Consider the following 15641-nt stretch of genomic DNA (forward strand, 5'->3'; position numbering starts at 1 on the left):
TGTCACCATGCCCGGCCAGTGAAACTTTTTCTAATAAACCAAAGCAATTAAAATAGCTTCTGTGTCTCCTTTGGCTAGGGAAAAGTAAAAGGTAAGCAAACACACAGAAAATCCTAGTTCATCAGAAAAAAAATCCAGTGATTCTGCAAGAAGGCCCTGGATGCACCTCATGCAAACTTCATGCAAATAGTTATTAATGAAAAACACACTTCCACCAGGCACAGTGGCTCACACCTCTAATTCCAGAACTTTGGGAGGCCAAGGTGGGATGATTTCTTGAGCCCAGGAGTTAGAAGTTAGAGTGAGCTATGATTGCAACACTGCACTCCAGCCTGGGTGACTGAGTGAGACCCCATCTCCAAAAAAAAGAAAAAGAAACACACGCTTCCTCCAATGATGAGCAATAAAAAGGAACCAGCAAAATACATGTACAAAAATAACGTAAGAAAAATATTTCATGTTCAAATAGATCAGAGGGTGAAAAAAAGAAAATAAAAAAAAGAAACAATGATCAAAAGAAGAGGAAATGTAAGTAACAGATAGACAAAGACACCAGAAAAAAAATGTTGCCAAGGAGCGGAGAAAAATTAGCACAAGTATTAATTAGGACAATAACAGTTTTTAAAGACATAATGAAGCAACCACCTCTAACAAGCATGAATGTAGTGAAGAGATTTAAAAGTTCAGAGAACATAAGGTAAGAAAACAGGATGTGAACTGCGACCCAGCAAAGATCAGGAAACACAGGGAAAGAAAAAAAGATTAAATCGTCACAGAAAAGAAGGCAAAATTGGATGGGGCGCAGGAAGAGACATGGACACAACACAGCAAGGGTCACAGAAGAGAGAAAGAGAGAAATGAATAAATGAAAACAGAAATAAATTAAGTTTAAAGAAATTAGAGAGTAACAGCTATGGAAGAAAAGCAGTATAAAATTGGAGTACTCAAAGAAAAAATAAAAATATTGAAAACAGAACAAATATTTAAAAATATAATATTGGAAAGCACTCCTGTGAAAATGTGAATTGAAAATGTGATTTAAAGAGCATACCATATTCTCTGGAAGACTGATCTGTATCAGGTCAACAGTGAGACAATCCTGGTAAAGATGGTCTCTATTTCAAAGATATAGAACCCACTGGGCAGATGAGCAAATGGATTAAGTCACTTGAGAGAGCAAATAAATCAGGCTGGTTCAGACGCCTCTGCAGTATTCATCACTAGATGACCCTAGAGCAGAGCCTGTGAAATCCTCAACAGGGCTGCCCAGGGTGTGTTGGGACCAGGCAAATACATTTATTGCGGAGACCCTGTCCATATAAAAAAACTAGTCCCTCAAAACACTGTGGTACAGACATAAAGACAGGCATATAGACCAATTGAATAGGATAATGAGTTCAGAAATTAACACTCACAAAAATCAATTGATTTTTGACAAAAGTGACAAGACCATTCAATGGAGAAAGAAAATTTTTAACAAATGGTGCTGAAAAAATTGGATACCCACATGAAAAAGAATAGGGATGGATGCTTACCTTATACTACGTAAAAAGATTAACTAAGATGGACTGAAGACCTATAAGAGCTAAATTATTGACTTTGAAAAGAAAGCCTGGGGGAAATCTTCCTGATGTTGGATTTGGCAATGGTTTCTTGGATATGACACCCAAAACACAGGTAACAAAATAAATGGGAGATAAACTGGGCTTCATAAAAATTAAAAACTTTTGTACAATAAAGGATACAATCAGGAGACTACAAAGGCAAGGAAAACACAGATTGGGAGAAAAAAATTAAAGCACACATTGGATAAGAGATTAATATCCAGAATATATAAATAATTCCTACAACTCAACAACCAAAAATAAGCAATCCAATTTAAAAATGGCCAAAGGACTTGAATACACATTTCTCCATAAAGGATATACAGATAGCAAACAAGGACATGAAAAGATGCTCAACATCACTAATCATTAGGAAATGCAAAAGCAAACCACAATGAGATATCACTTCCCACTCACAGGGCTGATAAAAAATAACAAGTGTTGGTGAGAATGTGGAGAAACTGGAATGCCACGCATTGCTGCTGGGAATGTAAAATGGCACGGTTGCCGTGGGAAACAGTGGGGCATACTGTGAGTGAGGAAGGCACTCCAAAGTATGGATACCCTGAGACATGGGGCTAGGGCAGAGGTCCTCCTTTTGCCTGGGATCCAAGGGCAAGAGTGACCTTAAGATAAAAATGTGACCTAAGAATTTCACACTCATCAAAGTTTGAACATGTTTAAAACTATAGGAATATTTTCCCCATGAGTCCAGAGACGGCCTAAAAATCTACATCCAAGAAATTAATGGTACACACTGAATTTTACTACCAGACCAAACTAAAGCCAATATGAGAAATAGGGAGACAGAAGAGAATGCTAATGTTATATGTCTTGAAAATGTTGAAATGCCATATTCAACACACTTTGAGAAAGCAAAATGAAAAAAAATTGCTTAATAGAGTAAGTATACTGATTTTTTTTATTTTAATAGCTAGGAGCAAAGTGTCTCATTAAAACTGACAAGCCAACAGAGTCATAAGCACATTTGAGTATAAAGAATAACATTAATAAAGTTGACGCAATCAACTAAAAATAAAATTAAATAGTGAACGAGAGTGAAGAGATAAAAAGAAACTTATTAATTTATTAATTGCTTAAAATAGGAAATTTACAGATACTTTCTAAGGAAACAAAAGACTAAATTATTAAATAAATGTATTATTATACAAGTAAACATTAGGACATATCTCTCTTCCATCAGGGAAATATACACACAAAAAAAGAAGGTAAAGACAATAGTCAGCATAGTGAATGTTTTTTAAAAATCTACAACAAAACATAGCATAAAATAATATAGTTAGGTCCAAATATACATCATACCACTAAATGTAAATGAATTAATAAAAAACAAAATAGTATTGGCTGGGCGCAGTGGCTCATGCCTGTAATCTCAGCACTTTGGGAGGCCGAGGCGGGTGGATAACTTGAGCTCAGGAGTTCAAGACCTGCCTGGCCAACATGGTGAAACCCCATCTCTACTAATAATACAAAAATTAGCCGGGCATTGTGGTGCATGCCTGTAATCCCAGCTATTTGGGAGGCTGAGGCACAAGAATCGCTTGAACCCAGAGAGTAGAGGTTGCAGTGAGCCAAGGTCACACCACTGCACTCCAGCGTGGGTGACAGAGTGAGATTCTGTCTGAAAAAAAAAAAAAAAAAGATTTAGTAGTATATAAAAAAAAATATTTAACTTCCCTATTAAAATAAAAATGCTTTCAAGATTGGGTAACGAAGTAAAGTTCATCTTGGGCACTGTGACTAAGAAAGGATTGGAAAAAAAGAAGGTCATCAAAGGTATATCAGGCAAATGGGAACAAAAGAAAGCAGTATTTTTACCCGGCAGGAGTTACCATGATCACGAAGGTGGTTTTCCAGGGCAAGCCTCAACCATTGCACTCCGGATATGCTGACCCGCATGATTTCCCCAAATGTAGGAAACTCAACTGCATAATTTTTGAAGGACTGCATTGCACTCTCTTCTGATTTAAAAAATTTAAAATTTTTAAATATAAAAATAAAAATAAAATATTTAGGATATTAATACGATACAAGGTAGACTTCAAGCCAAAACCATTAGCTAAGACAAATAAAGACAATTCCTAATACTAAAGTGTGGCATGATCCTAATAAAATGCCCGCAGGATTTTACTGTGGAGTTGGATAAGTTCATATTAAAGGTTAAGTGGAAAATAAACACGAAAAGTCGTGAAATCTCTTTTTAAAAAGAAGAGGAATGAGGGGGATACTACTCCTTCCAGATGGTTTACTGTATAATAGACTCTAAAACTCAATAATTTAAACATTGTGACTTGAATGCTTGAAGACATAGATCTGTGGAATGGTAAAGAAAGTTTATAAATAGACCCATTTTCTTGTGGAATTTAGTATGTGATAATGGTGTAACACAGGCCAATAAAGTACAGACAGATTATACGAGACAGGTTGTTGGAACTCCTAGTTAGCCATCTGAAAAAAAGAATAATTTTGGACACATATTTGTCCTTTACACCAGGACAAATTCAAAATGGATCAAGGATTTAAATGTAAAAAAGAATCAAAACGATAACTAAATTAAACCATGGCTGAATTCCTTATTGACCCTGCAGGAAGGTCTTTCTAAAACATTAACATAAAACCAAGAAGCATAAAAAAGATTCATAAATCAACTCCTATGTATCACAAACCTGCAAAATCAAGTCAAAAGTTAAATTGAAAATTGTAACAAGTATTTACAACTCACAAATTTATCTCATAAAGAGCTGAACTTCCCAATATATTAAAAGCTTCTGTGAATGAGAATAATAGCCAATAGATAAAATGAGGTGTGATGAGCAAGTTCCCAGAAAAAGAAATACAAACAACTCTAAAACTAGGAAGAGATCTCAACCTCAGTCATGATGAGAGAAATGCAAATTCAGTCTCTCCGTAACACCATCCTTCACTTTCAGTTTTGTAAGTAAAATAAATAGTAAATAAAATAAAAAGTTTACTCATGGGAGTGTAAATTGGAACAAACTCTATTGAGGGAAATTTGTGATCTTTATCAAAATTATTAATGACAAATACTGTGAATCAGCAATTCATTTGTAGAAATGTAGCATACAGATACTCTCACAAGTGTACAAAATGATGTATATCCAAGGCTACTCATTGCAGTGTTGCTTGTGAGAGCAAAGGCAGGACACAGCTGAAATGCTCATCAACCGAAATGATTGGTTAAATTGGTTACATAAAGTATGGTACATGCATGCATGGAATAAAAACAGCCATCAAAAATGAAGAGCAGTTTGAACTGATACGGAATAATTGTCAATTATTAATTGTCTGGTAATAAGTCCTGGAATTAAGCAGTAGCTTTCCAGATTAAGGGCTGGAATATACATATATATTTAGGCCGGGTGTGGTGGCTGACGCCTGTAATCCCAGCACTTTGGAAGGCCGAGGTGGGCAAATCATGAGGTCAGGAGTTCGAGACCAGTCTGGCCAACATGGTGAAATCTCGTCTCTACTAAAAATACAAAAATTAGCCGGGCATGGTGCTGGATGCCTGTAATCCCAGCTACTCGGGAGGCTGAGGCAGGAGAATCACTTGAACGCAGGAGGCAGAGGTTGCTGTGAGCCGAGATCGTGCCATTGCACTCCAGTCTGGGCAACAAGAGTGAAACTCTGTCTCAAAAAAAAAAAATAAAAATAAAAATAAAAATAAAAAATATATATATGTATGTGTATATTTATATAAACTTATATTTTATTATATATATTTATATATGTATTTATAATATATAAATATATATATATTTTAAAAAATATATATTTAAGTCCACATATTAGCTGGGTGAAGTGGCTCACGCTTGTAATCCCAGCACTTTGGGAGGCTGGGGCAGGAGGATCGCTTGAGTCTAGAAGTTTGAGACCCGCCTGGGCAACATAGCAAGACCTCTTTCTTTCTGAGTAAACCATTAGACTTTCTTTATTTATATCCCTAGTTCATTCAGAGAAAAAGTTAGATGTTCTCAGTAATACATAAAATACAGTTTTTACTACGTGAGTAAAGAAAACTAGTAAACTAGGAATCAGGGTTAAAGGGTGATGTGAAACCTGCAAGCATAGACAAGTCCAAAAAGGAAACCTACAAGGTGCTGTACATTTGAAAACATAGGATATGAATTCCACTCTTGGATTTCAAGAGTCCAGTGTGGAAGGAGACAATGTTAGCTACATAAACTACAGTGTCCATGAGTTTTAAAGATTAAAAGTGCATAAATATTGTTGGTAATGACACCAGAGAGAAATGTTCCCCTTGGTATTCCTAAAGGCATCTCAATGTCTTTACAGCAAACACAGCTCGGGTTTTACAAAGTTGTTTCCTTTAATGTATATTGACGCCATGCTACTAAAGCACAGTTCAATGTGGCAAAAGCAATTCAACAAGGACCGAATGAAGCTGTCCTGGATGGCAGTCTGGGGATTAGGAAGTGGACGCTCAGGAAAAGAATAAAGGAATATTCCTCAAATAATTCTCTGTAAATTAGATTTTTTTCTCACTGAAGTTGTATGGAGTATCCTTGAACTCAGTTATACAAATACACCCTAGAAGTTATCCCGGGTCCTTCTACTGTCAGTTAATGTCACATATGAGGGTTTTCACAAACCCTTGCAGTGGAAAATATCTTGACATCTTCTTTGGGAAGCTTAGAAGCCCAAGAACAGCAATAGCATATGCTGAATGGGAGACCTTCCCTTCCGGAAGGGGGCGACTAGCCAAGACACTGAGGGCACGAGCCGTCTAGTTCTCCAGTGTCTCCCACATATGCCTCCCAGGATGGCAAAGTCTCATGTTATAAGTGACAGCAACAATAATGTAGACCTCAAAATTATTTTAACCACATATGACCAAATTCTCTCCTGGGCCGTGAAAATGTATCAAAAAAGTACTCGAGGAATGTTTAACCTTGAGCAACGTAATTCCCTCTTTGAAATTCCAGTGGAGATTGGTTGCAGACTGTATGCCCACAGAAAAATGGTGAGCCCCACAGTAAAAGGCTGGGTCCCAACTCCCAGAAAATTCCCTGATATGTGGCAGTCATGAAATAAAGATTTGTTGAATAAATTCCTAAGTATGGTCGTTAGCCATAAACCTGTTAAATATTGGGCCTCTTCTACCAAAACGATGCTGGTATTGATGTCAAAATAGTGGCTTTGTTGGTTCTTCATTTCTGTACATCAATGCTAAGGACACTTGTCTATTCGGGTTCCTAGGGAACTTGGACTGTAAGTCATATCAGATGACAGCTCTGACATTCTCTGCACATTACTACCTATAAACCTGTTCTGCCCATATCTGTAATGGAGAGGCCATAGCTGCCCTTTATGGCTGTTTCAGAGTCACCGCACACTCGTAGCTAAGTCGTTCCCTATGTCCAGTGCCAAACCATCTTTGACTCAAGGTTTTCTTTCTCAGTAGCCAGATGGCAGAGAAAACCACTGATCTCCATATCTTTTAAATAATAATATTTGTATATCAAGATACAATAAAAGCATTCTCTAACTTTTCCTTATAATGTGCCTTCTGTTGTTGTCATTATTTTTTGAATATTCCCCTCTTTCCTCACATCTTTGTTGAAGAGAACGGCATCCCCAGTCCTTGAGTTAAATGATAAATAAGCAAAGCTTTGGGTTGGGTTGTAATAAAAGAAGTGTCATAGCTCAGCTCTCTTATATCAGCCCCAGAAAGAATTAGAATGAAACCTGTAAAGCCTTTTAAAAATCTGAAAAGAATTTGATACGGATGGAAGACTCCATAAGGGCAAAGGCAACTCTTCTCTTAATATTCTTCTGGCTCAGATACTGATTTATGATGAGGCATTTCTGGCATCAAGATGCAAGAAAAGGGTTTAGGGAGAGAGGTTTAGCAACCTTCTTACACGTACAAAAGGATAGAGATTGAGTGAAGATGAAAGAAACGAGTGCTGAACATTACTTAGGGTCCTTTCTTGCTACTCAGTCTCCTAGTGTCACACTGGGCCTCTGAGAAGGTACTCCCACACAGCACATGCACACGTGCACACACACTCATTCCTCTCCCCAACACACACACAAGCTCATCACCACCACCTCCATGAAGACAGGGGTCTTCCCTCCTGTTGCTGATTGCCAGATGGGTGTATCTGAACCTTCCCTTCTGCAGCTAAAGAATGCCTCCTCCTTAAATTTATCTCCTAAATAAGCAATCACCCTTTGAGGAACTCACTATGAATTTTTTTGACAAATAAAAATTGCATACATTTAGGGTGTACAACGTAATATTTTGATATATACAGTATATACATTGTATAATCATTACCACAATTTGGGTAATTAACATCCATCACCTCAAATAGTTAACCATTTTTGTGGTCAGAATATCTTTCACCGACTCTTTTAGCAAATTTCAAGTATACAATACATTATTATTAACTACAGTTATCATAACATACAATAGGTCTGCAGTACTTACTTTATAGCTGAAGGTTTTACGCTTTGACCAGTATCTCCCTTTTGTTCCACCCCCGCCCCTGTTAACCATAGCTCTACTCTCTATTACTAGGAGTTTGATTTTTTTTGAAGATTCTACATATAAATGAGATCATGTGGTATCTGTCTTTTTGTGTATGGCTTATTTTACTTAGCGTAGTATCCTAAGGTTCATCCATGTTATTGCAGATGACAGGATTTCCTTCCTCTTTACGTCTGAATAATATTCATGTCTCATGTTGTCTTTATCCGTTCATCTCTTGGTGGGCACTTAGATTGTTTCCATATCTCAGCTATTGTGAATAGTGCTGCAATGAACATGGGAGTGCAGATATCTTCTCAAGGTAGTAATTTCCTTTAGATATTGCTTTATGTATAACCAAAAGTAGGATTGCTGGATAATATGGTGGTTCTACGTTTAATTTTTTGAGAAACTTTCCTACTGTTTCCCACAATGGCTGTACCACCAACAATGTTCAAAGATTCCCTTCTCCACACCCTGCCCAACACTTAACTATCTTTTGGCTTTTTAGTAATAGCCATCCTAAGAGGTGTGAGGTGATATCTCATTATGGTTTTGATTTGTATTCCCCTGATTAGTGATGTTGAGAATTCTTTCCATATCTCTTGGCTATTTGTATGACTTCTTTGGAAAAATGTCTAAATGTCTATTCTTTGCCCACCCCTCTCTTTTTTTTGATGGAGTCTCTCTCTGTTGCCCAGGATGGAGTGCAGTGGTGCGATCTCGGCTCACTGCAACATCTGCCTCCTGGGTTCAAGCAATTCTCCTGCCTCAGCCTCCCAAGGAGCTGGGATTACAGCACCTGCCACCACACCCGGCTAATTTTTATATTTTTAGTAGAGACAGTGTTTCTCCATGTTGGCCAGGCAGGTCTTGAACTCCTGACCTCAAGTGATCCACCCACCTCCGCCTCCCAAATTGCTGGGATTACAGGCATGAGCCACCGCACCGGGCCGCCTTTGCCCATTTTTAAATGGTTACTTAGTGAGTTTTTTTGTTTGCTATTGACTTCATTGTAGGAGTTTCTTAAATATTATAAATGGGATTTGTTTCTTGATTTCTTTTTTGAATAGTTTGTTGTTATTGTATAAAAATGCAACTCATTTTTTATGTTGATTTTGTGTCCTGTGACTACTGAATTCATTTACTAGTTCTGACAGCATTTTGGTGGAGTCTTTAGGATTTTTTACATATAAGATTGTGTCACCTGCAGAGACAATTTCACATCTTCTTTCCAATTTGGGTGTCTTATTTCTTTCATCTGCTTTCATTGCTCTAGCAATAAAATTTCATTCTATGTTGAATACAAGTAGCGAAAGTATGCATCTTTGTCTTGTTCCTGATCTTACCTATGGACTTCAATGACAAGTGATGCCAATAAAACAAATGAAATATATATATATGTATATATATATATACACACACACACACATATGTATATACACACACATATATATGTGTATATATATTCACACACATATATGTATATATACACACACACATATATATGAGTATATATACACACACACATATATATACACACGATATATATGTATCGTTTATGTATATATCTAGATATATATGTATACATATCTGGATATATACATATACATATATGTATCTAGATGTATATGTATATATATAGATATAGACATACATGTGTATCTAGACAGATACACACATGTATGTCTAATGTATAGATATAGATATACTGGGTCTAGATATATATACACATATATGTCTCTATCTATATCTGGATATGTATGTCTGTATCTACATATAGATATCTGTACCTATATCTATACATATGCGTGCGTGTGCGTGTTATAAAGTCCAGGAATATTTTTTCAATCCACAGTAACCACTTTCCCTGATACTCACTGAAATGTCTCCAAGTTCTTATTCTTTCTTCTCTACAAAATCATCAATTTAATTTTTTTCTCTTGAGAACCAATCCTCCCAATCTCCTTTCTCCTATTTCTCCCTGTCTTTTCCATAAAAATGTTCCAGTTGTAAGCCTTATATGCATCCTTATTTCTAGCTCGAAATTCTGCTTAGGTGGTTTAGCAGGTAAAGAACAAATGGCAACAGGTTTCAAATGGCAGCCAGCTGGGCTCTAGAAGACAAAGGTGCCAAGGTGTTTATATTCTTTTCCATTCATTAAGTCACCTCTCACTTCCTCTCTCAGATGGGTAACTGAAGGACCCTGGGAACAACTCACTGGCTCTGGGAGGGCTGTGAGGACACAAAAATCTCTAAAGATCAATTAGCCACTGTTACGGATGAGAAGGTCCAAGGAGACCCAAGGGATGTAGGTTCCCATGGAGAAGGCATTTGCCTTCCACAAGACCTGACTTGCAAGAGTGATGGCTGTGTGTACCCAACTGTACCAGTGACCTCTTAAAATTGCTCAGCTATGAGACATGTTCCCTTTAATGTAATTAGGAAGCTATATCTCTGCATTCCAAATGAAAAAAGAACACATTAACCACAAAACAATTTTATTAGATTCCTGCTAGTTCAAATAGTTTCCTTTTCTTCATTAGGGTAATGTATATGCTTGAATTGTTTAGACTTAGATAGACAAGGATACGGGAGAAAAATCATTTGTTCCAGGCAGTTTCTTGCTTAGTTCCTTGAGCTAATAAACATTTCTTAATTGGTCTTTAAGTAGTGGCTAGTTGGGTAGGATTTGGAATAAAACAAGCCAGATTCAAATCCTGACCCACCATTTAGTGCCTGGGTAATTGAGGCAAATCACCCAAAATGATTATCTAACTTTCAGTCTCTAGATCAACAGAACTAATAGGAGGAGGGAAATAGCACCTACATTCCATATTGTAGGAATTTAGTGTGTCGGTGAAGTATATTATATAGCATGGTGTTTGAAATATGCTTGACTGTAACTATAGTAAGGGTTCAATAAATGATAACTATTTTTACAGGACACATTAGCTTTGTGCAAAAAAAAAAAAAAAAAAAAAAGCCTTCTGACCAAAGAATTTGTAACTCAGATGAGTCTAGAACCCTGGCCAGAATTAACCGAAGCAAAACTATGAAAGTACACTAAGCTCACACTTGATTCTCTCTCCAGCCACCCTTCTGTCCAAACTCAATCTTTCCCTGTTAAAAATGTCCTTCCAGAAAAAGAGAATTAGGAGGATGTTGTAGTAAGCGTTGGATTTAGGGTTTCAGAAACCTAGATCTCAGCTTCACCCCATATTTGCTATGTGAACTTGGGTGACTTAAACTCTCTGAACCTCAGTTTCTTGTGAATAAATAGGGACTATAACAAAACTCACTCTCACAATACAGCTGTAAGGACTAATAACATTGTATGCAAAAAGGTTTTTCAGATATAAACAAATATTAGTTATTGTTATTGGAATAAAAGATGATTCCCTCAACATGAAATTTACCAAGACCGTGAAAGTTGATTAATAAGGACGCCACGCTTTGATATGAAGCCAAGAATGTGGGATGCAGTGACAGTGCTGGAATATCCGGTACCCATTGTCTTCACACTTCAGCCTCTTGAGCCTCCCACCACTGCCTTCCACAGAAGTCTCTTTTTTTCATTGTCTTCACACTTCAGCCTCTTGAGCCTCCCACCACTGCCTTCCACAGAAGTCTCTTTTTTTCATTGTCTTCACACTTCAGCCTCTTGAGCCTCCCACCACTGCCTTCCACAGAAATCTCTTTTTTTCATTGTTGTCACTCCTCCTTATCCCTTCTTCTTTTCTATATCTATTCCTCTTGGCTCATTATTCATATGTTCATTTCTTCTCTATTATCTTCTCTCTTGCATGGAAAATATCTTATCCATGGCACCAAGCTGCATGACAGAGACTCCTGTTGTAGCTAGTAAGAGTCTATGCTCCCTTTACTCAATGCCACCCTAGTGATTTTGTCTTTTTCTTCAAGTGTGTAAATGACATCCAAACCTGAAACTCTGCATGCTCCTTGAAGTACCTCTGTTTATGATCTCCTTATTTGCTCCAAATATCGGACATGAATAACCTCTGTTAGAGACCTTAGAAATGGGTTCTGAGATGTGAGCGTCTACGGCAGGGTCGCAGTTACTTAGAATCGGGGGAACTCATTCTGTCTGCCTCTGGGCACAGTGCATCTGCATGGCACCACGTTGGGAGTCATTGACCTTGGGAAGGTGTTGTCATTCCCTATTAAATCTTCTATCACTCTCAGTCTTGCCTAGAACCCATCCCACTCTCCATAAGTGGACACAATACACCCTCTTCTCAAGCTGGTTCCTTTGGAAAGTTGTGATAAAAACCAGCACTTACTGATGGCTGCACAGTGATCACAGACACTGAGCAAGAAAGAGTCCCAAGAGATCCCTACTTCCAGTTTCTAAACAAGGAAGGGACTAAAACTCTGAGGACGGCCATGCGCGGTGGCTCACACCTGTAATCCCAGCACTTTGGGAGGCTGAGGCGAGTGGATCACCTGAGGTCAGGAGTTCGAGACCAGCCTGGCCAACATGGTGAAACTCTGTCTCTACTGAAAATACAAAAATTAGTAGGGCGTGGTGGTGGGTGCCTGTAATCCCAGCTACTCGGGAGACTGAGGCAGGAGAATCACTTGAACCCAGGAATCCAAGGTTGCAGTGAGCCAAGATCGTGCCACTGCACTCCAGCCTGGGCAACAAGAGTGAAACTCTGTTCCCCCCGCCACCAAAAAACAAAAACAAAAACCAATTCTGAGGATGACTGAGGGCTTTCCTACTGACCAACTGCCCTCCAAGGAACAGGGAAAGATCTGTGATTGAAGAGCTATTACAGAAAATTTTACTGCTCATTTTTTCACCTCCTACCCTGAGTCCCTGCCCCTCCATAGTACTTTCCACAGAGCCCCCTTCACGTCCTTGTTTCTTAGTGTATAAATGAGAGGATTGAGAATGGGGGTAATTATAGTATAAAAAAGGGCAACAAATTTTCCCTCACGCTCAGAATAATTGTGGATGGATTGGAGATATGTGTAGATGGCTGAGCCATAAAAAAGGAAAACTACTAGGAGGTGGGACCCACAAGTCCCAAAAGCCTTTCTGCGCCCAGCCGTTGACTTCACCCTCAGCACTGCATGAGCAATGTGCACATAGGAGCCTAGAATAAGTGCTGCAGGAACAGCCACGACTATGACTCGGGCCACAAACATCTTGGCCTCTGTTCCTTCTGTGTCCGCACAAGCCAACTTCAGAAATACAGGCATCTCACAGAAGAAGTGATTCAGTCGATGGCCACAGAGAGGCATGGCCATTGCGAGACCTGTCTGGATCAGAGAGTTCACGAAACCCGCACCCCAGGAGGCGATAGCCAGGGTCTGGCAGAGATGGGGGTGCATGATGGCCATGTAGTGGAGTGGACGACAGACAGCAGCATAGCGGTCAAAGGCCATCACCACCAGGAGCACACACTCTGTGGAGCCCAGGGCTAGGTAGATGAAGAGCTGAGCCACACACCCTCCACGGGTGATGGTGCGGTCCACCCCGCAAAGGTTGATCAGGAGCTGGGGCACGGTGCTGGTGGTGAAGCAGAGGTCCAGGAGGGACAGATGAGAGAGAAAGAAGTACATAGGTGTGTGCAGCCGAAGGTCTAGCCAGGAGAGAGCGATGATGATGGTGTTGCCAAAGAGAGTTAGGGAGTAGAAAATAAAAATAAAGACAAACAGGATGGGCTCCAGTTGCGGCCAATCTGAGAATCCCACCAAAATGAAGCCATCTTCAAAACTGGTGTTGAAACTTCCCATGGCCTTTTGCCTGTCTGAACAGCAGAAGGAAGTGCAATGCCTCCTATACTGAGCACAAGCTACAACATTATTTCGCAGGATTCCCTGAATACTAAATCATGCATTTTATTACCTATTTTGCTCTGCAGTTTGTTGTGTCTGGTGTTCTTTCCCTTCTCTTATTCAGAGTGGAAATCACTGGCTTGGGAATCATATGGCCTTTGTTTGAATCCTAGTCCTGCTGCCTGTTTGTTCCAGGACTTCACCCAGGTCAGTCAGTCCTTTAGATCCAACATTTCCTTGCCTAAAAGTAGAGATGATGTATCACAGCAATGAGATTAAGGTCAAATGCAATAATGTGGAAGCTGCTTTTAAAAGACTCAGATGTAACAGGTAGCATTACTATTCTATGTTGCTCCCATTTGCTCCTTTGCTGGTCTAGCAGGTGGCCTCTTTCAGTAGGGTTACCCCCCATGCCTAACCAGGCTGGGAGCCCTGTTTGACCTCTGGGTGCCCACCTGCTTTTTTCGACTATGGACAGCCCATACAATCCCAGAAACCCCACGCACGACCAGCAAATGACTGAGAAGAGTGTAGATCCCTCCTTTTGGAGAAGAAAAAAAAATCAATTAGCAACAAATATATTTCCTATGGTGTGTCATCATGCCTGAAATACCACACACACACGCACACACGCACATACACACTCCCTTCAATGGCTAAATCCATTCCTCAGCTGCCCAAGAAGAGTTATTTCCTCCTCTCTAGCCCAACCCTCTTTGTACAGTTTCTTTCTGCACTTGTCACACTCGCTGGAATTCTTTTTGTATGTCTTTGTCCCTCTCTGAGCTGTGAGCTCCTTAGTGGTAGCTAACATAATGAACGTAAAATAAATATTAGTGTCTTTCAGTGGGGCACGGTGGTTCACGTCTGTAATCCCAGCACTTTGGGAGGTGGAAGTGGGTGGATCACCCGAGGTCAGGAGTTTGAGACCAGCCTGGCTAACATGGAGAAACACTGTCTCTACTAAAAATACAAAACAAAACAAAAAAATAGCCAGGCTTGGTGATGGGCACCTGTAATCCCAGCTGCTCAGGAGGCTGAGGCAGGAGAATTGCTTGAACCTGGGAGTCGGAGGTTGCAGTCAGCCAAGATTGTGCCACTGCACTCAAAAAAAGAAAAAGAAAAAAAAAAGTAGTGTCTTTCTTTATGCTACACACAAAGTGCTAAATTAATATTTTCATTCAGGGCACATAGTAGATTTTGAATAAATTTCATTGAGTGAAACATGAGGTTATCCCTTCAAATCTCATCAAAATTTATTTCTTCTAGAAAACCTGAGATTACCAACATATTTTGATAAACTGTGAAAGTGAGATATGCATAAAAATTTGCTCTACGTTAAAGTTCACATTTCTTATGACAAAACGTCTAAGTAGGATTATAAGAAAGTATGTCAGAAAGCAAAAAAGGGAAAAGGAGCCTAGAATATGCTCTATATGAACAATTTTTGCCAAATTAACTCTGTCCTCTTTTTGTTAAGTTTACTGGACTGAAGATCATCATCAATGGATCAATGCTAGATCAATGCTAGATCAATGACTCAAGTAAGGCATTTGGACACCACCCTTGATGCCCTTGTGGAAAAGATGAATAAACTGTGGATTAATAATAGCAAAGAGGTAATTCATATGTAGCTTAACCGATACATCAAAGCCATTTTTTGAATGACCACCATAGCAGACCACAATGGC

General features: G+C 39.0%; 1 protein-coding gene and 1 pseudogene across 1 annotated transcript; one reads left to right on the forward strand and one right to left on the reverse strand.

Annotated features, from left to right (window-relative positions):
* On the forward strand, nucleotides 3436-3587 carry RNU1-17P (RNA, U1 small nuclear 17, pseudogene; annotated as a pseudogene).
* OR2Y1 (olfactory receptor family 2 subfamily Y member 1) lies at nucleotides 12973-13908 on the reverse strand. The gene has a single exon (NM_001001657.1). The coding sequence runs from the start codon at nucleotides 13906-13908 to the stop codon at nucleotides 12973-12975; it is 936 nt and encodes a 311-aa protein (NP_001001657.1).
* Nucleotides 13909-15641: the final 1733 nt, after the last annotated feature.

The sequence above is a fragment of the Homo sapiens genome, chromosome 5, assembly GCF_000001405.40.
Source record: "Homo sapiens chromosome 5, GRCh38.p14 Primary Assembly".
NCBI classification, from domain to species: domain Eukaryota; kingdom Metazoa; phylum Chordata; class Mammalia; order Primates; family Hominidae; genus Homo; species Homo sapiens.